Genomic DNA, 24,070 nt, shown 5'->3' with positions numbered 1-24,070 from the left:
CTCTCTCTCTCTCTCTCTCACACACACACACACACACACACACACACAAACTGCTGGTGGTAGTCATTCTTTTACCTCTTGGCTTTGAGATAAAACAAATACCTTTGAGGAATTTTTAATTTTTTTAATCAGTAAATAATGACATTAGTATTTTTGAATAGTTGGATTCATTACATACATTTTTATCCATTATTATTTGACTAGATCCATCTAATTGTGACTACTTTGCTTTCAAAATTGAAAGGATTGCCCTGACTTTATTTTTAAAAGAAGGAAATTTAGTTAACCTTTGTTTTAGTTTTCTTAGGTTTCCTTTTTTCCAAAATGGCTTTAACACAAAAAATGTAGGTGGATTCACCTGCAAGCCTTGTGATTTGGGAGCTGTTGATGACAGATGTAAAGGGAGCTATAAATTTAAACTCTATAATTTGTGAACTGTCAGTATAGTTGCAGCATCAGTGCGGTATACATTATTGTTCTCCAATTTTGTAGAGTATGAGATGAGCAGTAATCTAGTTATATGAATCTCAAGGCCAAGATTCTGATAATACCTTTATTGTACTAACTATAAATTATAGACAAACATGCTTGCAGAGAATAAGACATTTTTTCTTCAGCTTCCTGAAAGTATAGAATTTAAGATATACTTAAGTTCTATAATTGTATCTGTCAACATTCAATTGGTCAATAAAAGGTATTACCATCAACATGACATTGCCTTTTAAGTAATCTTAAGGGCTCCAAGAATGTACTACATACAGAGATATCTCTCAATAGGAGGTAATATTTTCTATGAAATTTATTACTCTAGTCATAGCATATTCACGTGACTGAAATATTTTTTAAATCTTAGGATAAATGAAAAATTTGCTATTTATAAGTTAAAATTAAATTTTTAATTATCTTGTATTTTCCTCTTTTTTCCAATTCAGTTTCTTGGCTTTATATATTCCACAAAATGGAATATAATGCTGCCCCACAGTTGATTTGTTTATTCTGACCATCTAACCATTGATGTTGATCTCTACTTAATCAGTTCAGAATGAGGTGAAGCTTTGATTATAACAACAGCAAAACTAAACAATGACACATGTGACAGGTTGGTTCATGAATTCCTCATATTAATGTTTTAGGTTAAAAATATAACATCAGTTTAAGTCCAGAGTAGATGAGAACAAGTTTTAAAAGTACAATTCATAATTTTTTATGAGTATGATTGTGAAGGATGGTCTGTAATAACATGAACAATTTTCCTATTCTAGGTTTAGAACTAAAAAAACTACACTTTACTCCTGACAAAAGACACAGATTTTAAATTTTTATTTGCACAACTGTATACTCCTAAACAACGTATTTTTTTTTTTTTTTGAGACAGGGTCTCACTCTGTCACCCAGGTACCCAGGCCAGTTTCAGTGGCACAATCTCAGCTCACTACAACCTCTGCCACCCAGGCTCAAGTGATCCTCCCACCTCAGCCTCCTGAGTGTCTGAGACTGCAGGTACACAACACCATGCCTGGCTATTTTTGTATTTTTTTGTAGAGACGGGATTTCTCCATGTTGCCCAGGCTAGTCTCGAACTCCTGAGCTCAAGCAGTCTGCCTGCCTCGGCCTCCCAAAAATCTGGGATTACAGTCGTGAGCCACCACACACAGCCCATACTAGATTTTTATTTAACAAAAAATCAATATTTGTACTAAACTTTTTAGTCTCAAATTTTGCTCTGAAATATTTTCTAAAAACTGTCTTTATCGGAATTCCTAACATTTTTTCATTTAGGTTTTCTGATATGGCCAAAGATACCAGACAGCACTCAAGTCAGACTTTAGTCAGACTGAAAAAATACTTCTGAAAATCTCTAAATTATCTAATAATACAGATCTCTGAGTCAAAAGCTTCATAAAAACATTGGAATCCTCAGAATTTTGATGAGCACTCTCATTTTTATCACAAAATGTTTGCTTGGGCCTACAGAATTCCAAGTTTACATTTTATATCAATCAAAACAACAAATCAACTATTCATTTTCAGTGAAAAAGAAAAGAAATAAGAAGAAAGTCAACCAGTTGCTTATCTGTTTGGGGTTATCTACAAACCAAAATGATTGATCCAGTAATTTCAGAAAGACATGATCAGAAAGTAGAAAGAAGTGATTTGAATACTATGGAGCCACAAAAAATGATGAATTCATGTCCTTTGTAGGGACATGGATGAAATTGGAAATCATCATTCTCAGTAAACTATCACAAGGACAAAAAACCAAACACCGCATGTTCTCACTCACAGGTGGGAATTGAAGAATGAGAACACATGGACACAGGAAGGGGAACATCACACTCTGGGGACTGTTGTGGGGTCGGGGGAGGAGGGAGGGATAGCATTAGGAGATATACCTAATGCTAAATGACGAGTTAATGGGTGCAGCACACCAGCATGGCACATGTATACATATGTAACTAACCTGCACATTGTGCATATGTACCCTAAAACTTAAAGTATAATAATAATAAAATAAAATAAAATAAAGTTCTTTAAAATTGATACTTGATTCCAGCAGACCTACTGCAGCTAATGCTATAGGTTCTGGATATTTCTAATCCACAAGGCTGAAGTCTAAGTTATCTGTCCAGATTGATAGTAAACTGTAGATTTCAAACTGGTACGTGGTTAGTTTTGATTCTCCCTGTCCCCCTCCCCCTCTGCTAGTCCAAGGAGTTTGATTAAATTAGTGTTGCAAAAACTTTAGTCTGGAAACAGAGACCATCTCCCTGCAGTTTTTAGGAACAAGGAGGATACCTTGTTATTAATCTAGACCTACTGTATTTCTGCAAGTGTATGGGGGAAAAATAGAACAAGCCCAAGCCCAAATGGATATGGATGATGACTTTAAATCAACTGATAAAACCACTGTAATTGTTATTTGAGATTTTTTTTTCATACTCTGCTTCTTTCCAAGAGAACTTTGAAAGTTTGTTTTCTTGTTTAACCTACCAAAAAAGATTAATACAAATGTAATTGAAAGGAAGAAAGAAATCAAAGAGAAGGGCAGAAACAAATTTGCTTACTGTGAGACGAGTTCAGCTGTAGTTAGGCATCTGTTTGGTTATGAGCTTCCTGGCAGCCTAGTAGAAAGTGGAGTTATTATGAATAAAAGAGTTTTAATATCAGAAAAGCGAATGTATATCATCTCTTACAAGGCGATGGAGTTAATGCTGAGTGGTGTACTAGCAGTGTCTTTTTAATATTTTTTAACACAAGCAGAAATCACATACTTGTTTTCTGATAGTTATCAAAATAAATTAGGACTTTAAACATTGAAACCCATCTTAATCAAGCAGATGCTTCAAATAATGAAGTTGTATGAATATCCACAGAGGTTAAATGCTACCCAAATATAGAGGAGCCTCAAGTGCCTCAGGACTGACTGGATTTTGAATCCCTTAAAGTGGTATTTGAGTACTCATAAGACTAATAAAGTTCTTGTTAAAAATACAGATTGTTGAGCTCTATTCCTGGAATTTCTGATTTAGTCAGTTTGAGATGAGATCCAGGAATCTATATTTTTAACAGGTACCTAATATGATTCTAATGCAACTAGTCTCAGTAGCATTTTGAAAATCAGTGGCTTGGGCTCTCTTTTTTCATATGTCTTTTATGTTAGTCAAATTTTTCTTAGGAATCAGATAGAATAGTTTAATAATATACAATCTGAAGACAGCCTGCAGGGCAGGTGTTTTATAATGCTGATTAAGGGGAGAACTATACAGGATCACACAATTGGTAGGACTTTTATTCTATTTATGCAAATTATAGAGCCAGACTGGTATGCTAGGCTAGACAAAAGGCCAGCCCCCCATAGGTTTCACCTGATCAAGACCAGATATTCCCCAAGAAAGAATTTTGAGTTTGCTCCAGTACTTGGATTACTGATGAATTCAAACATCAAGTTAGAACAAATCAGACATAGTTTTGTGTTTGAAAATCCTTAGAGAAAGTATTATCTATGGCACACAAATAGCTATCCCAAAAGCCTTAATGATGACCCTTTGCAGGTCTCCAGATATGCCTGCCAGGATAAGTGAGCTGCTAGATGTTCCCCAGACAATTGAACACATTGACCTGTTACATGGTGCTATTTAATATCGATCAGATGAATGTCAGAGAATGTCTGACAGAGACAGTGGTTTTTGTTTCATCAAGGTTAATGATGAGTCATTCATCCAAACAGCTGGCTGCTCCCAGGACTCCCTGCCTCTTAAGACCACTGCTGTTTAATGAACACCAAGCCATCTCATCAGCATTTAGGAAGCCTAAACTACTGAGTTGTTATTTCTTATTAATTAAAGGCCACTGATTTCAGCCTCTGTTGGTTAATCGGTAACAATTCAAAGCATATCTTGACGTAAATTTTCATTAAATATAACTATTGGTTTTGTAACAGAAAGATAAAGTGGATATTCTCCCTTTTCCAAATCAATTTCCCTTACGTGCCAAATTGATTTGAGCATGTCAGATCTTGCTAGCTGCTCAAGATGCTTATATAATTTTTTATCTTTTATAGGAAAATAGCCTGATTTTCCTTTTTCATGAATTTGTATCAGATAAAATAATGTCACTTTCATTATACATCACCAGGATATGGAAGCTGCTTTTGTCTTGCCTTAATTTCTAGGTAGCATGTTCGAGGAGATTGGTTTACCTTCTAGAAATTAACATTGCTTTCCTACTTATCTTGGCAGTGGCATTATTCTGCCCTTAGCTAAGTATACTTACAACGTGTGGTAATCCATATATGCCTTTAGCTGAGGACTTTTTTTAAAGTTTGACACAAAATGGACCCCTTGTCTTAAAAAAAGAATAAACTAAGAGCTTTAAACTGCCTGTCCCTTTCAACCTTACTTTAACAGACCAGACTTGACGATGAGTGTCTTTAGTAATTTTGATATAATTCTTACTGTTTTTTACTGAAAGTTTTATAAATTTGGTGGTTTTGGAAGAAAGTGCATTTAGCCAAAAGAATGATTGCTGTAGTAGATGAACAGTTCAAACATTATAAGAAGTATGTGAAAAAAGCAAATTGAAGCTTTCCATATTTTCAAAACTTATAGCTGAATTTGTTTTACTATAAGCATACAGTTTTCTATTGTTCGGTCTATCACATTATTATTTGAGTATTGAGTAGATTGATTATTAGTGTTCCTATAGTAAGTATAATTTGTAAGGAGATTTACCCAGATAGGTCTCCATATATAAATTAAGATATCGATTGGCAAGTACCTGTCTAAGTTTAAGTTTAAGGAGTGGCATATCTAATTGAAGTATTGTGGGACTGATTATAGTGATCAAATAAAGGTGAGATATGTTTGGCAAGAAATCTTGAAGAAGATGAATTTTGGCAGAGTTTTAAAAGAAAGAGAAGGGATAAATTTGGATTGGGAAAATAAAAATGTCATTCACATTGAATAAATTGACAGATGGCTAAGGGTATAAGGGATATTAAACATTCTCTGCTAGGATAATGAGGAATTAGCTCTCTTTCTTTGTTGTGTCTGCTTCTGCCCAGAATGGTTTCTAGCATAGAATCAGAGAAATTTGGAAGATCATTGAATACATCCTGCATATCAGTCTTACGAAATGAAGTCCTGAGAAGTGAGATGACTTCTCCAGGTCCAAACAATTGTCAGTGGTGGAGGTGGAGCCAAAATGCACACCTTTCCAGCGTAGAACTTCTTACATATCATACTACACTGTACTGTCATATCACCCCATAGGCATTAGATCTCTTCATCCTGAACATTTTAGTCATACAGAAAAGATAGAAGTGTCTAACATGTAGGACTCTAACATGTAGGACTTTAGGTTGTATAACTTTGATTATCCATTAATTGTTTTTTTCTGTTAGCAGCAATTTCTTCTTGGTCAGAAAGCTTAGCAATCATTTAAGATAAATTTTTCCCCATATATTTTCTTTTCCCTTGATTCTTCACAGCCCTGGGTCTGTCTTTTTGGTGCATATTTTTTAACTGACTGAACATTTTTGGACTGTTATCTTGGTGTGTTTTCTTAAATTGTGATAGAACTGGCCTTAAAAATGTGTATTATAACTGTCCTTTCATGAGTTTAATTGTTAACATGGGTTTGGGAATATGACACATCTAGAAGGAAAGACGGATCTAGAAGCTTTATTTTCATTTCTCTTTATTCAACAGCAAATATTTTCTTTATACTTGCTGTATATTAGATATAGTCTAGGCACTAGGCTGCATGTGGACAGTCACTGAATTCCAGAATATTATAGTCTAGTATGAGGCAGAGATGAGTAAACGAGCAGTTATTAGAGACTCAAGCAAACTATTTTATTTCAAGATGGTGATGTCTGATTTGAGGTCTGATTATTGAATGAAAACCTCTTTGTATGTATTTATTTTCAGAGTATGTTAGTTACATGTGTTTTAAGTGTTATTAATCTTGGAATATTAGTGTACTCACATATCAATTATCTGTTAATGTTATTTCATCTGGCTAGATTGACTATTTTCATGGGATTTGAGGTCAATATGGAGTTATTCAGTAATGTTTTAAGTGCATGTTCCAAGCTACATTATTATTACAATGGAGGAGCAAAAAGCACAGTTTTATTTTTTTGACAGAGTGAAACTTACTTAATGTGGAACACTTTAAAAGACCAGAATTTTATATTAATAAAAAAAGAATACATGTTTCTCCTGTGGATTTTCCAAAATGATTTAGTGTCTGTTCACTATTACCATTCCATAGGATTCATTCCAGAGGGATTAAGTAAGGCATAGTGGATGTAATATTTAAATGTATTCTTTATGTAAGTTTTCCACTGATATATAAAACAAGTCAGAAAAAAATTTAAATGGAAAATATAAATATGTTAAGTGGAAAAGTAGGCAGTGTTATTTCTTTCTAAAACTTATGGTTGTATTACATACAAGTAGAATATTAGAATGCCTATATTTAAAATATATGTGTACCTACCTAATTAACACTAATTAGTTTCAAGAATCTGGAACTATTTATTGGTGACTGTAAGACATAGGCTCTTTTGCTTTCACTTTGATTTAATAATATTCTTAGTCCATACTTTAAACAGAAAAATGATTCTGTCTAAATTGAGAACAGCATTTATGTGTTACATTTCATAGATTGTGTGTTTATCATGTCCTATATAAACTGTCATTTCTTTGGCTATCACATATTAAAGTACATAGTCCAATGAACTATAGGTTTTCCAGGTAACCTGCATAACTAGTTAGTATTGACTATTTTGCCTTGAAACTCTCTTTGATTTTGTGAAGAAACCTACATAAAAATTATGTTTACCATTTATCTTTAACAATTGTAATTCAAAATCATGTGTTTTCAGAATTTTCTTAAATCTGTTTTCACCAGGTGCTTCTAGAGAGAAAAATAGAAAAATTATAGTCAATATCAAGTTTCAAAATAATAACAAGAGGCATTATCTGACTTCATGTATAGGAAAACACTTTTTTCTTTAAAAGATCTCTAAAGGTTCTATCATCTCACAAGGTAACTAACATTATAGAAAAATGGCATCACATTTCTGTTCAAAGGAAACCAGCCTGTACTGTCTGAAACCATTTCCACTGCTATCCTAATTGCTATCCTAATTACTTCACATCACGACATACGCGCTCAGTGCCTACTCTCTATAGAAAGTTGATGGAAGAATAAAAGCTCATGAACACACAATCTAGAGATTAAGGTGTATACACATTATTTTACAAAAGCTAAGGTTTTTTTTTCTGATAAAACTAATACATGTCTTTGTTTACAGAACAATACCAATGAATACATATGTGTATAAAGTACAAATTTCAAGTCCCACCAGAACAAACCATTTTGGCCTAACATCATGATTTTTTGTGCATTTGTGTATGTTTGTGTTTGTCTTATTTCTATGCCTGTATAAATGTGTTTGTGTGTGTGTGTGTACTCAGATATATGCGTGTGTGTGTGTATGCAAATGTAATCAAGTTATACATTTTGTTTAGGAACTGCTTATGTGATTTATTATGGACATGTTCCCATGTTGTTCTAGTAATCTTTTGCTGCATAACCAACTCAAGATGTAGTTGTTTAAAACAGCAGTATCTTCAGTCTTTGGCAGGGATCACCAGGGACAGAGCAGCTCTGCTCCACTTTTGTATCATCTGGGATGGCTCAAAGTCTGGGAGCTGGAACCATGAAAAGACGTTTTCACTCATGTTTCTGACAAATTATGCTGGCTGTGGGCTTAGATCTTAGTTTAGTCTATCAGTTGGAATGCCTCCACTTGGGCTCTCTATGTGGCCGGGGTTTCTATTGGAAGACAATTCTCCATGAATATTTCATGGTTCTACATGATCCAGGCCCTCTGAACAAAGGCATTTACAATAACGTTTTTATAAGGAGACATTCCAGGATAGTGAAGCTTAGAGACATCTCCCTTCCTGGAGACAGTCCAGGGTAGTAAAGATAAAAACCTGTCCTCCTCCCCAGATTTGCTTGCATTCCAGAATGAAGATAATGTTTCTCTTTCTCCTGAAGGGAGGATTGGCACATCATCAACAGCCCTATAGAAGATCAAAAATTTTCTAATTTGGGGATTTCTGTTTTATAATGCACCCCGTTGCATGTGCAGGTACCATTCTGGCCATCATGTTGCCCTGCAAGGACTTGGGCTTAGAAAACTCATGCAAGGTGTTGTTCTTGCTGTGAGTAATGAACTGTATTTGTCTATGACTCAGAGGCCTCATGTTTCTTGTGTGTATGTATATGTATGTGTGTGAATCAAGCAATATTCATAATTTTAATATGGATGTTTATGGCTATATATGTGTATACATCCATCCATCCATCCATCCATCCATCCATCCATCCATCCATCCTTCCATCCACCCATCCATCCTGTGGCAGTCTAAATTGTTCACTTGGAAGAAAGATAAAATCTCAGACCCTTCACAGTTTCTGATATAATAGTTTCCTCACCAAATGATGGCTGTATTCCAAAGGCAAATCTTTTGTGAAAGAGTCAGAGCGAAGTGGAAGCTGTATCACCTTTTGTATTACAGCCTCAGCAGTCATGCAGTGTCAATTTTGCTGGATTTCATTGGTTGATCACTCACAAAGGCCTGCCCATGTTCAAGGGTAGGGATGTAGACTCCAGCTCTTAGAAGAGAAATAGAACGACACTGAAATAAAATGTGAAACCAGAAATATTGCTAGACCACTATTAGAAAATTCCATCTGTCACATATATCAATACAAATCAATGTATCTTATCATTTTTAATTTCTGCATAAATTCCTATTGATGGACATTTAGAATTTCTGCATTTCTTTTAGCTAAGAATTTTTCAGATAACAATGTGTAAGGTAAAGGCTTTTGTGTCATAATTTTGTGAGTTAGTTCAATCCTAGAGGGTAAGTGGCTTTCTTGCCTCATTTCCCTTCTCCTTTTGGAAAATGGCCTCACATTTAGGAAAAGGAAAATGAGGTAAGGATGTCAGGAAAGCAAAAATGAGAATGAGGTACTGAGCTGACCACTGCTCAGTATCAAGCATGATAGATTGCTCAGTCTTTCAGAATCATATCTTCAAAGGCAACATAAACAACGTCTCAGGACAAGGAAGGAAGGGAGAGTAATTTATCTGCTGTCTCCTGTCTCCCATTGGCCAAAGTTTGCTTATGGGGCATTAATTCCTCTGTGCATCATGCACCTGCTTGAATGGTACAACGTCTACATTAGACTTAATAAATATGAAGTGGCTTACAAGAGGTGTCTAGTGTGTTTGTATATCCTGAGTTTTTGTGTAAAGATGATCTATTTATATAAATCTTTGTGTACCTGTGAACTTATATTGCTAAAATAAGTTTTAGAATTGAAATCTCACAATTTTTGAATATGTACATTTAAAATTTTGTCCATTGACAAATATTACTAATTGTCCTCCATAAAATTTATATACATTCATACTCTACCAAGTAGTCAGAAAGAATTTAACCTCATACATTAGACTTAATCAACGTCCTAATTACTGCCAATCTAATCAACATAAGTCTTTTTGTTTTCCTAGTTTCTTTGAGGTTTTTGTGATGCTGAACAAATTTTTACATGGTTATTAATCTTTTTTTTCTTTAGCAAATTGTTTTTCCATGTCTTTTTTGGCTTTTTAATTGAGGCATATTTTCTTTTTCTTATTGATATTCTGACTTGCTATCTAGATTATGAATAGCAAGTCTGTCTACATTTATAAATATATATTCCAGTTTTAATCTTTTATATTACTTTTGTCAGCTCTTCTGTCCAACAGCACATAAAAATATATCAGTCTTTTCTTTATAGTTCCTGACTTTTGAGTATCTTTTTCTTTTTTTTTTTACTAAGAATTTTGATTTTTTACTATATTTCCTAATTTGTTATAGTGTTAGTGTTACAGGACAGGTGAGCCCTAAAATTGGGGCTTAGCCCAGGAGGGTTCTTGGCATGAGGGCGAGCCAGTGGTATTAGACAGCAGTCTTTAATTGAATGGTACCGTTCCTTGCATTGCAGGACTAACTCATAGGCAGTGCAGCCAGAGTCAATGTATGGGCTCTTGGCAACTTATATTTACATATGTAAACCCACTTTCAGTTATATGTAAATCAAGGGGCAGGTCAATGCAAATTGAGAGGCCCATCATTTCAAACTTTTAAAGAAAGGGGCAGTAACTTCCAGGTCATTGTCATGGAGAAAGGTGGTAACTTCTGGGTCATTGTCATTGCATCTGTAAACTGTCATGGCATTGGTAGGAGTGTCTTATGCCAATGAGCAATGAAGGCAGCTAGGGATCGCTGGTTCCTACTTGGTTTTTTTGCTTTATTTTGTATGGACCAGATCCTGTTTTGATAGCAGAAAACAAGTCCTACCAGTCTCCTACCCTAATTGCTGATATATAGCTCTTTTTTCTTATTTATTTTCTGATTATGCATTATATTTTCTGACTTTAGTAGTTTTCTCACTGATTCTCTTTGAATTTCTAGGTAGACAATTATATCATTTTAAAATTTCATTATCTTCTACATACTTTCCCTATATGCATCTTGAATTTTTCTCTATAAGAAAATATTTTTCTAAATATTATATTATGAACATTCTCTAAGACCACTTGAAACATATTTTAGTTACTGAACACTTATATGGCATAATCTAATTTTGTTTGTATTTTTTAAATTTATAAATAATTCTATGAGAATGATCTTAATAAATGAATCTTTTCTACCTTTCTGATAACTACCATAAAGCAGATTTCTAGAGGTAGAATTAGTGGGTTAAAAGTAGGAACATCTTCAAGGCTATTGTCATATTGTCAAATTGCTTTACAGAAAATGTTTACTGCTGCAAAATCCCAATGGCAGTGTAAGGTAGCATCTATTTCACTTTTACCTTTTTAGCACTGATTTCTGTCACTTATTCTAATTTTTAATTTGATACGTGATAAACATCATTATTTTAATTTACATTTTGCTTTGATTACAAGGACAATGAACATTTTATCGTATGTTCATTAGTGATTTGTGTATTTCGTCTGTGAATTTTTCTCTCATGAACTTTGTCTTTTTTAATTGAAATTTATTTTTCAAATTGATTTATATAATATTAAGGGACTATGAGTGATATTTGGGGCAAATGTTTTTCCTATATTGTAATTTGACTTTTGATTTCGTAGACATGTATTGTTTTAAAAGTACAGACAGATCTCTCGATTATTTTATGTTTTATGATTTCTGTTCATTTCTTGTAAGTTACTCTTTATCAAAAAATCAGATAGATATGTACACTGAGTTTTTTTAAAATTAGTAAACTATATTTTTAGAGCATTTTTAGGGTCACAGCAAAATGGAGCAGAAAGTACAGAGTTCTCATATATCCTCTGTCCTCACAAACACATACCCCAGCTTCTCCCACTGTTTACATCCTCTACCAGAGTAGTGCATTTGTTACAATGATGAGCATACATTGACACATCATTATTACCCAAAGTCTATAGTTCACATTAGAGTTCGTTCTTGGTTGTGTACATTCTATGGGTTTGACAAATGCATATGACATATATCCCTCATTGTGGTATCATACAGAATAGTTTCACTGCCCTAAAAATCCCTGTGCTCTGACTTTTTATCCTTTCCTCCCAACTAATTTCTGGCAACCACTGATCTTTTTACTGTCATAATAGTTTTTTTGTTTTTGTTTTTCTTCCCCAGAATGTCATATATTTGAAATCGTATAGTATGTAGCCTCTTCAGATTGGCTTCTTTCACTTAGTAATTTGCATATAAGTTTCCTACATGTCTTTTGATAGTTTGATAGTTTGTTTCTTTTTAGCAGTGAATAATATTCCATTGTCTGGATATACCACAGTTTACTTATCCATTTACCTGCTGAAAGACATGTTGATTGCTTCCCAGTTTTGGAAGTTATGAATAAAGCTACTATAAATATTCGTGTGCAGATTTTTGTGTGCACATAAGTTTTCAGTTTATTTAGGAAGATATCAAGAAGTGTGACTGCTAGATCCTATGTTAAGAGTATGTTTAGTTTGTAAGAAACTGCCACACTGTATTCTAAAGTGACTATCATTTTACATTCCCATTAGCTATCAGTGAGATTTCCTGTTGCTCCACATCCTCACCAGAATTTGGGGTTGTCAGCATTTCGGATTTTGGCCCTCCTGATAGGCGTGTGGTGGTATCTCATTGTTGTTTTAATTTGAAATTCCCAAATGCTATATTATGTTGGACGTCTTTACATATGCTTGCTTACCAACCATATTTTTTCTTTGGTGAGTTGTCTGTTCAGACTTTTTGCTCATTCTTAAAGGTGATTTATATTCTTATTGTTGAGTTTTAATTAGTTTTTGTATATTCTAGATAATAGTTCTCTATCAGACATTTCTTTTACAAATACTTTCTCACAGTCTGTGGCTTATTGTCTGATTCTCTTGGCATTATCTTTCACAGAGCAGAAGTTTTAAATTTTAATGAAGCCCAGCTTATCAATTATTTCTTTCATGGGTTGTGCCTTTGATGTTGTATCTAAAAGATCATCACCATACCCTACGTCATTTATTTTTTTCCATGTTATCTTCTAGGGGTTTTATAACTTTGTGTTTTACATTTAGGTCTATGATTGATTTTGAGTTAATTTTTGTAAAGGGTGTAAAGTCTGTCTAGATTTTTTATTATTATTATTTTGCAAAAGGATGTCCTGTTGTTCCAGCACTATTTTTTGAAAAGTCTGTGCTTTCTCCATTGACTTACCTTCATTCCTTTGTCAAAGATCAGTTGACTATATCCTGTGGCCCTGTTTCTGGGCTCACTAGTTTGTTCTGTTAATCTCTTTGTCTATTCTTTCACTAATAACATGCTGTTTTGATTACTGTAGCTTTAAAATCAGCTAATGTCAGTCCTCTGATGTTCTTCTTCTCCTTCAATATTGAGTGGCTATTCCAGGTTTTTTCCTTCTCCAGGTACACTTTAGAATCAGTTTGTTAATATCTACAAAACAACTTGCTTTTGATTGAGGTTATGTTGAACCTACAGCTCAAGTTAGGATCAGTGATTAGCTAGACAAAGTAATGCTATTTTACTTTTCACTTTATATTTTCTGTATTATCTGAGTTTCTCAAATGAGCGTGTATTAAATCGATTATAATCAGGCTAAAAGAAATATATTTAAGATAAAACATGTTTTATGGTAGTACAAAAGTACAAACAGAAAATCAGGTGCTTTGCATGTATTACACTACTTTTTTTCCTTATCCATGTTGTACATCTTAAAAAGCTTTTCAGCAAACCTTTTCAATGTATTATGGTCTAAGAACTCCTAAAACTTATTGAAATAGTCCTGTAACTTTAATTTATTAGAATATGTCTAGCTTGACTTTTTAAATCAGCATAATTTAACAAACATTGCTTGAATAGTTCACATGCAATATTTTTTGTGCTGTGTTGTTAGAGATACACAAATGTAATATTTGAGAATGTGACATAACAAAATATTTCTTAACTGTGATATTGATGAAAGGTTGAATAAAGAGGACATCTGGAAAACACTGAAGAAACTTTAGTTCTAGACAGTAGTTTGAGGAGACCTTTGACTCTAATAATAGCCATGGTAGGATAGAGGACAAGGTAGATGTCAAAAACCAACAGGGCTTGGTAACAGAGGGATTTTAATTAGATTTGTTTATTTAAGATGGTAATTGAAGAAATTGAGTCAATGACAGAAATAGAGTAATGCCAAACACAAGGATTTGAATAACAGCTAATATATTAAGAATGTCTATGTCCTTATTTATTTTCAAGTGAAAACAGGAAATCCAGGTAAAATTTTCCCATGGCCAGTTGGAAGCATTCAAGGTTGAATTAGAAATCAGGGTTTGAGCTAGGTGCAGTGGCTTACACCTGTAATCTCAGCATTTTGGGAGGCTGAGGCAGATGGATCATCTGAGGTCAGGAGTTCGAGACCAGCCTGACCAACAAGGTAAAACCCGGTCTCTACTAAAAATACAAAAATTAGCCAGGCGTGGTGGCAGGCGCCAGTAGTCCCAGCTACTCGGGAGGCTAAGACAGGAGAATTGCTTGAACCTGGGAGGCGGAATTTGCAGTGAGCCAAGACTGTGCCACTGCACTCCAGCCTGGGTGACGAAGTGAGACTCTGTCTCAACAACAACAACAACAAAAAAAAAAAAAAAAAAAAGAAATCAGGGTTGGAGAGACGCTGTGAAGCAAGGTAGGCAGGATCCTGGCCTTAGCTAAAGAAACTTGGTGTTCTTGGAAGTAACCACCCATGTTACCTTGGCCAAGGCACTTCGCTGTTCAGGTTCTCGGTTTTCTTGGGGGTTAAATGATCAGAATGAAAGGCTGTATATTTTCTAACATTACTACTAGATTATTAACAGCTGAATCTGTGATAACAAATCACCTGATTGTGGTGATCATTAGAAGAGGCCTTACCCAGAACAATGTGTGTCTCAGTCCATTTGGGCTACTATAACAAAATACCATAAACTAGGAAACTTAGAATCAACAGAAACTTACTTCTCCACAGTTGTGCAGGCTGGAAAGTACAAGATGAGTGTGCTGGCAGATTCAGTGTCTGCTGAGGGCCTGTTTCCTGGTTTATAGTTGGCACCTTTTTTCTATCCTCACATGGTGGGAAAAGGGCAAGGAAATTCTCTAGCACCTCTTTTATAAGGGCACTAGTCTCGTTCATGAGGGCTCCACTCTCATGACCTAATTACCTCCTAAATACCTCATCACATTGGTGCTTAAGCTTCATCATATGAATTTTGGGGGAACACAAACACTTAGACCATAGCAATGTGGAATCGTGAAGTTAAGGGAGAAGACAGTTTGTGATGAAGTGTTAGACAGTCCGATCAAGCACTGCAAAGAATTCAAGGAAAATTATAATAAAGAGTACCTATGATCTACTAAGAAGAATCAGTTGGAAATAAGTTTAGTAAAGAGGTATGGATGAATGCCATAGAACAGAGAGAAACTAGTGTAAATATAGCTGATAAAAATATAACAATTTGATAAAGATAAAAGTTTATTTTACCCCGGGCCCTTAAGTCATTAACAGTCAGGAGATTATAGGGCAGGAGTTCTTAATCTGGCTGCAGAGAGGACTCAGCTGGGAGCTTTTTAAAAACACAGACGAGCAGGCTCTATCCTACTCCCTTTGTCAGAATCTGGGATATGGAGAATGGAGCTGATACTTCTCAAAAGCTCTCTCAGGAACAAAAATAAATTAACATATATTTTCATTCATCAATTACTATCTTTATAAATAAACATTAACCTAATATTAATTCAGTGTGCACTGTCTGCTAAGCACTGTACTAGATGCTGAGGGAGACAGGTATACAAATAAACATGGAACACAGTGAATGAAGGTGAAAGGGGAAAGGAAAGGTGAGAGAGAAAGCTCTGAGCATGTTCTTGCAAGGAAGCAGCTGCTTTTTTGGATTTTAGATTGAAATATTGGAGTTATGACACATGCTACTTTTTAAATCTTTCCCAGCTGATGAGAGTTTGGAAATAAAAGAGCCATCCAATTTCCTAGATAAAATGAGGAAGTAGGAAACTTTGTGCCTGGGACTCTTTTTCTGGGCCTCCCCTTTCAATCCTCTTAATTGCACTTTGACTCCACCGACTTTTATGTTGTCCTTGGTGTACATGTAATGGAACCCTGTGACCAGTAAATTTCCTGGCCATAGTTGGTTGTGGGAGAAGCAGAGATGGAAATGTGGAGTTGGGAGAGAAACTGTCCATCCTTGCCATTTCCATGCTGTCTTTTAGGTTGTAGCTTCACCATCTCTCCTTCTGGACTGCTGTAGAAGTTTCTTAACTGTCTTCCCTGCCACTAAGTGCTTTATCTCCCACTCTGTCTTCTGCGTAGGACTAGATTTATCTTTCTAAACTACAGTGTCATCTGGCTTGAATACATCTGAAAGCTCCCCTATTGATTAACCATAGGATGAAGGGCAAATACCTTAGCATATAAAAGACCCCCATCCGTTTGTTACAAGCTTACCCTTCTCCGTTTTCTTTTTTTCTGGGTGCAAAACTGCTAAACTTTTTTTGGTTTCCATTTCATACTGAACTCTTCTATGACTCCATTATTTTGCAATTGCTGCTGTCTGAAACATTTTCTCTCTTATGTCCTTACAAGATCTAGTTCCATGTTTATCTCTTTTATGAAGTTTCCTTCTAGTCTCCTTTAGCATTTTGTACATGCCTCTAAATACACATTTACCTGTGATAAACCATATTTATTTAATAATTTGTTACATTTCTTGAAAGAAAACTCTGAGCTTATTGATCTTTGCATTTCTCTTCTCCTCAGTGGAACTGGCAAATAATAGATGTCGAAAAATGTTTCTCAGATGAATACACTAGCCAGCGCACACTGGGAATCCAGAGGCTTCTCTTTTACCACACTGTTGGCTCAGCAATGGCAGTGATCTTTTAAAACTGCAAATCCTGTCATGTCACTCTTCTGCTCGAATCCATCCAAAGGCTCCAGGCTTCACTTAGATCCTAAGTCTTAGCACGAAACCCAGTCTGTAACAGTCTGCAGGACCCAGCCCCTTCCTCCTATCCCAGAGATCTCTCCTGCCCTTTCACTCATGTGCCCTGCCTTAGCCACCCTGGCCACCCTCTCTGCCTCCCATGCCGACACACGGACCACTTCCTTAGTCCAGAATATTCTTCCCTTGGCACTGGTTAGCCAAGAGAAGTTCCTTCCTCAGCCTTCAGGTCTTAGCTTGGATATGACTTCCTCAGCAAGGCCCTTATCCATATCACATTTTCCTGCTATCATGTCACATTGATGGCTTTATATTTTTTCTGGTGTTTATTACAATGTGTAATTTACATTTATCTGTGTTATCTCTGCTTAATGTCCATCCTGTTCACCGAGTTTTATTCTGCATTATAGCAGGGACCTTGTATATTTTGTTCTAAGATGAATCTTCAGCATGATGCCTGAGACATATTTACCCAATAATATAACCGAATAAGTGACAAGCTTTATCCAAATACCTTTGGATATTTTTCTCTTCCTGTCTACTTCCTTTATTTTTAACTCCAATGCCCCATGTTTATCTAGTAAGTATACTACTTTGTTGACTGACTGGCCCCCTCCATACCCATACTGTCATCACCATCAAACCACAACAGTTTTATGCAAATGTCTAAATCTCAAATCAGTAATAAATTGGAGTATTTGGTTTGTTTCTTCATCTTTTTTTGCCAACAAAGTTGAAATTAAGCTTCTATTTGCTTACCATTTTTGGATTTCTTCAAGATAATTGGCAGTGGGCAGTTATTAAAACATCTTAAACATTTACTATAAGGCTTGGAATAAATTCAATACCATTAAAAGTTCATGTTCACTGTCTTCTTTGTCTTTTTTGTCGTCGTTGTTACTCCTCATAAAGATTGAGTTTTAGAATTACCAGCACAAAGCTATACAGACTATCTTGAGTAATCCAATAATAACCATGCATTTTATCTCAGATTTTTTTTATCTGATTCGATATAGCTAATTTAGTTTTTCTAAGCTGTGGTTTTAAATCTAATTAAGACATCTTAAATTGCCCAATTTCCATTCGGGTAGCCTGCTCTGCCCATAATTTTCAGATTTCAAGACTTCTCTAATGAATTTCTTCCATTGCTTTCCTGCAATTAAGCTTCTTTTCAATTAAGCTCTGTCAGGCTTAGTCATAAGGCAGATTGCTAACCAATCAGTCTTATTAATTAAGAACAAAAAAAGATTCCTAAGAAAATTCCTTTGTATACAAGGTAATTTAGGGGAACAGCCTATCCTTTTGCAAATGCCGTCATATCCTTTCTCAGCATAGCAGGTAATAAGTATTTTGGAAACTGATTAACTTTCCCTTCTTCCTTACCTATTTTGTCTTCCTGACCTCTCACAATCTCCCCTCCTTCTGCCTCCCCCAAAGGTTAAAAACACAATAAGCTGCCACGTACAACAATAGAGCCTGAGGCTTGAGGAAGATGGCATTTGGTTTGCCCTTTGGCAAAGAGCACAGTAGCACTTGCCAGCCCCAGGCCTTCCGAGTTGAATATATCACTTCCACGGTGCAATCTGCCTCTGTTGTCCTGTGGCCTGTGGACCCGAACTCAAGCCTCTGTTTCAAAGGCATTATGTTACAGCACACCATCTGGTCAGCTGGCCCAGCATCCAGAGAGATTTGGAATCACAGTGCAGAGGAGCTAATTATGTTCAGTGAGTGTTTCATGATTTGCTATTTCAGACAAATAAACAAAAATAAATTATTGAAATATTTTCTTCCTGTTCTCCCTGTTCAGCAGATTCAAAAGTGGAGAGGAAAAAAAATCCCCAAATAGTTAGGAAATTTTTGGAGAAGCTACTGAGTCCATTTTGAATAACTGAACTGCATATGTTCTAAATTGTAATCCTTTTGGGCTTGAGATTGATAAGAATATTTAATGTGTTTCTGCCCCATTTTACAGTGGACAATTTTCATGCTAAGTGCTTTAATGTATGTCTGTACTGCTAATGTATCACTTGAGGCTGTACAGTTCAAAGCTTTGAGTGTACTTTATAAATTTGAGATTTATTGACCCAGTGTTTATTTTAACTTAGACATATTTATGTTTGTATATTTTGAAACTCATGCCATTGGGACAGGGTGAAATAGTTGAATTTTACATCAATTCTTAGACAATTTGATAATGTAGTCATTGATCTTTACAGTTACTTCTGCAAATATGTAAGCACTTTTTGTTTGCCAAGTCCAGGTATAGTAGGTCTTATCTGAAAATTGATTTTCCTCTTAAGCCCCAGTTCTTTAAAAAAAAGTCTTCAAGCAATAGTATTTCAATATTTGTTAATTCTATAATGTATCTATTGAAGTCATGTAAAATTTGATCTGAAATGCAGTGTGAATGACATATCTATTATGATAAAAGAAAGTGAGGAAGCTGTGAAGCAAGCATGAACATATTCATGTGGGAATATTTGTTAAACTCTAATTAAACTAAATGATTCTAGATTAGCCTTATTAGTTATCTAAAAATAAACATCTATAGAGAAATGATTCTACTTTGTCATCTATCATTAATTTTCGTGCATAGATTTTTCATTAAATATTTTAAAGACAAGAATCATGTCCTTTTTTGGTCTCATCTGTTGTTTATATCCATCTCATCATATTAAAACATTTAATTGTATTAAATGTTTTGAAGTAAAGGTTCTATTTTTAAAAGGATACTATGTGAGATGATGGATATGTTAAATTGCTTACCTATAGTAATCATTTCACTATGGGTATATATATATCAAAACATAATGTTGTGCACCTTAAATGTATACAATAAAAAAGGAAAAAAGGAAACCGTGTGTTATACATTTGTTAATTCATCTGATATACCAGTAGGGCTTGAAAATCTAAATTTAACTATTCATGTAAAACTTGAAAAGTGCTTTTTCAAGTTTATTGAATGGCCCCTTGAATTAAATAAACACCATTAACTAGTATCCTTTTATGAAACCCTAGTGCCTTCTCACTATTAGAATCCAGCTCATGGTTTGTTATATTACTACCAAAATTGAGTTTATCCCTACCAAATTGCCAAAATGTATAATTAATAGTTCCATTAAGAATAGAGAGCTTAAAATATTCTATGAAATAACATTTTTGTACTTGAGAGTTTGTATATAGAAGTTAAAAAAACAAATATTATATAGAAAAGAGACAAAAGTTTTTCATAAAATGAGTATATATGTGATACAATCATTAGGAGCAAGGGCATGTAATTTTTAATTGCCCTTTCAAATATGTTACATATACACAAATTATAGGAAGGTAGATATTCTAAAATCTTGTTAAAATGTTTCTAAATACACTTTCATACTATCATATGTAAATAAGTTATTTCAAGTCAGCATGTAGAGAACAAGTTATTCCATGTAATTTTCTACCTTTTTCCACCCCACCCTCTGCATTTATGTGACAGTACTATCACCTTCTCAATTTTAGCTAAGCAGACATTAACCAATGATATCGGTTAAACCACATGTATTTCCTTTTCCAGATTGTAAACTGTTTGAAAGCAGAATCAATTTCTAATTTGTTTATTTTTATATGTTATAGAGCCTTAATAGATCATCTGTGTATAAGCATATGGGTCAGGATTCCAGAAGGAAATCGATGGCACATTCAATTTGGTGGAATTGTAGATAGGAAACTATTTACAAAGGTATGAAAAAGGATAACAGAAAACCGGGATGGCGAAGCACTCCTGGGCTAGCAATAGTAGGAGCTATTACCGCTCCTATGTCTGAGGGTGAAAGTGGGGAGATACTACCAGGACCTACAAAGAGCTTCAGTTGAGGTTGTAGCTATAGGAGGGAACTTCTAGCAGCAGCTGTGACCGTTCAAGGAACCTGGACTTCTGCCAAACTGTAGCCCAACAGAAAGGGAATCTCATTCTCTATGTTCTGCCGTTTTCTTCTCATTGGCCCTCTGCTGGCTAATTCCAAACAAAAGCCAGACACTAGAGAAGTCTGTCAGTGTAGCCCATCAAAGACTCATCCAGGAGCACTGAGAAGGAAGGAGAAACAGTGGATAGAACCATGGGAGGGAGGGATGTGTGCAAGCAGAGTATATCAGCTTAGTTGATACTATATGAATGAAACAATGATAGTCTTTAAATGTTCTAATTTACTAAAATATATCTGCTTAATTAATATAAGCAGCTATTAATCAATTAATTATTTAATTGATTAATATGAATAGATATCATATATAGCTGTTATCTATTCATAACAGGTATAGGTTGGTAGATATATCTGCTTAATATAGGAACACATACATAGCCCTCATTATCCATTCATGTGTTTAATATTAATTAAAATATATGTGCACACGTTTAAGCATTTATGTGCTTAAATAAACTTCATTGCACTGTCTCAAATCAATAATCTGGAATATTCATATATATATACTGAGTGCTTGGGGTAAAGGTACAGCTGTAGGAGGAGGCAGTTGTTAAGGACTACATACTCAACATTCTCTTGTAAGGACCTCTTTTGTCATAAAAATGATTTCTGATATATCTATACCTAGGTCAAGAAAGAATGGCATTTGTATTAACCTAAGTTGAAAATGAATTAGCCTTTTAGCACAGCCTGAATTATCCTAATAGACTTTTTTTTTATTATCCAAGGAGTGTTTACAAATCCTAATGAATATCATTTGTTCATTTGATGTTTCTACTAATGTTCATTCATAACTAATACATATTTGGCATAATTTTGCTAATAGCGAATGGAATTAGTTTTTTAAAGATATTCCAAGGTCTGTCCTTCATGTAACAATAGAAAATTTTCACTGTGAATCATCGTCTAATTTTTTCTTAAGTCTGTATTTTCATATATTAAGATGGTTCAAATGAAGAAATTTAAGGGTCAAACAATAGCACTGAAATTTGTTGTTAAACTAACATATCCCTGATTTCTGGAGAATGCGGTGATATTAAGTATGCTGTTATTATCATATTAATAAGAACATCTACTAGATCTAAAGTGTTGAATATTCATGGAAAACAAAATCACTAGATCTTAAAACATTTAAGGCTACATTAAGATCAACAGCTGAATGGCAGTCAGAGATCATCCTTATGATATATTTTTCCTGACTCAAATAAATTAACTGTTCCATGTATATATTAGAACATATAACTGGACTCAGTAAATAAAGTCTTAGGACCTGTTTATTAGTTTGTTTTCTGTTGCTTATAGCAGAATACCTGAAACTGGGTAATTAATTTTTTAAAAGGGAATTTATTTATTATAGTTATGAAGGCTGAGAAGGCCAAGGTTGAGTTGTCACATCTGGTTAAGGCCTTCTTGCTGATCATATGGCTTGGGGGCTGAGCATGCTCACGTCCTCATTCGGGTCTTTATCTTATAAAGCCACCAGTTCCACTCCTATGATATGCCATTAATCCATTAACCATGAATAGATTAGTCCATTCATGAGAGTAGAGCCCTCATTATCCAGTTACCTTTTTAAGGCCCCCATCTTTCAGTACTGCCATACTGGATTAAGTTTCTAACACATGAAATTCGGGGAACACATTCAAACCATAGCAACCTATAAAACTGTAGACCCCAAAGAAGAGTGCACACATCACAAGAAACGCAAAGGACAAACCATTGAAGATGCATAAATACAATATAATAAAACGTCTACTTCTATTTATGTTCATAAAGCATTAAGTCAAAATATTGCTTAATAGTAGAACATGTATATTATTTATAGATAAATGTGTATTTATGTGGTGTGCATGCTAAAAAATTCTTCAGGAATATAGGATCAAAGGCCCAGATAACTACTGACTGAATATGATTATTTAGGAAGCTAAAAACTAGTCTATTACAAATTCTAACTACTATTTCTACCTATGATGTTAAATGCATATCTTAATCCAAGGCCTTTGCTGGAACAACAGTGAGATTTAGTTATTCCCGCAATTCATTTGACCAAAACAAATTGAGTGCCCTAGTCTAGGGCCGAAAACAATATGTTCTTACATAGTCTTTGGTTTCTCAATAGAGCCATCCCCAACATATAAATTGCAATTTACAGGTAGAAATTAAAGGCTCAATTGCCAGGCCTTCTGGGCATTTTCATGTCTAAATTATGCTGGGATTCCCGGTTAGGAAGGAAAGCACCTGTTTGTCTCCACTGTCATTCAGAAATACACTTTCAGTAAACATTACCCTTCCTGCCTTCCTCCCAACCCCCATTCATCTCAAATTTTCATGAACTAAAAATCGGTTTTCTCTTAAGTAGCTTGAGGCCCCTGTATAGTTGACATCAACCTATCTTTTTCATTAAGCTATTTTTTTTAAATGATGGCGGGCAGCAATAGTAATTCATTCTCTCTATACCAAATAGAACCCTACGGAAGTAAATAAAGAAAATTTAATAATAACTTCATCTTCCCTCCTTCAGCCTCATGTCTTTGTGTAGCAAGTGTTAAAATCATCTGCAGCATAGTAGTCCTTCTTTATTTTAATATGAAGATAGACACATACATACATTTTTGCATATTCCCCACCCTTACCTCTTTCTTGCTCTTTCTCCCTTTCTGTCTCTTTCTCTGTCTCTCTGCCTTTTGTTTCCTTCCCCTCTTTTCTCTCTCTTTCCTCCTCACCTCCTTTCCTCCCTTCTTTACTCTTTCTCCCTCCCTTTCTTCTCTCCTAAACTGGAATACCATACACATATTCTGTAACTTGCTTCTTTTTATACAGTGTATTATAGACATTGCCTTGATGTCAATACCTGTAGATGTAATCCATTCCTTTTAATAGTTGTATAATATTCCATAATATGAATGTATCATGTTTTATTTAATCATTTCTCTATTGATGAGCAGGTTGTTTTTAGTTTTGTGCCATTACTAACAGCAATAAACAACCTTGTACATAAATA

At 34.7% G+C, this 24,070-nt stretch overlaps 1 protein-coding gene across 20 annotated transcripts in view, besides 1 other annotated feature; it reads left to right on the top strand.

The window, feature by feature from the left end:
- Positions 1 to 24,070, top strand: part of IMMP2L (inner mitochondrial membrane peptidase subunit 2) — an 899,849-nt gene that overhangs the window by 701,375 nt on the left and 174,404 nt on the right. For 2 of the 20 annotated variants that reach the window (XM_047420926.1, XM_017012703.2), the window contains exon 7: positions 1 to 24,070. This exon is cut by the window's left edge and continues 24,697 nt beyond it. The exons of the other annotated variants lie outside the window; for them this stretch is intronic. The gene's annotated coding sequence lies outside the window, so the exon portion shown is untranslated. 20 annotated transcript variants of the gene reach the window in all.
- Positions 10,448 to 11,006: an enhancer, noted in NCBI's record as "OCT4-NANOG hESC enhancer chr7:110490168-110490726 (GRCh37/hg19 assembly coordinates)". NCBI's record gives its function as "activates a minimal SCP1, AML or CMV promoter by ChIP-STARR-seq in naive and primed H9 embryonic stem cells {active_cell/tissue: H9 hESC(naive and primed)}" and the evidence as "EXISTENCE:reporter gene assay evidence [ECO:0000049][PMID:30033119]".

This window comes from Homo sapiens, chromosome 7, assembly GCF_000001405.40.
Source record: "Homo sapiens chromosome 7, GRCh38.p14 Primary Assembly".
Classification (NCBI taxonomy): domain Eukaryota; kingdom Metazoa; phylum Chordata; class Mammalia; order Primates; family Hominidae; genus Homo; species Homo sapiens.
The sequence above is the reverse complement of the archived record's forward strand: the minus strand, read 5'-3'. Positions and strand labels throughout refer to the sequence as shown.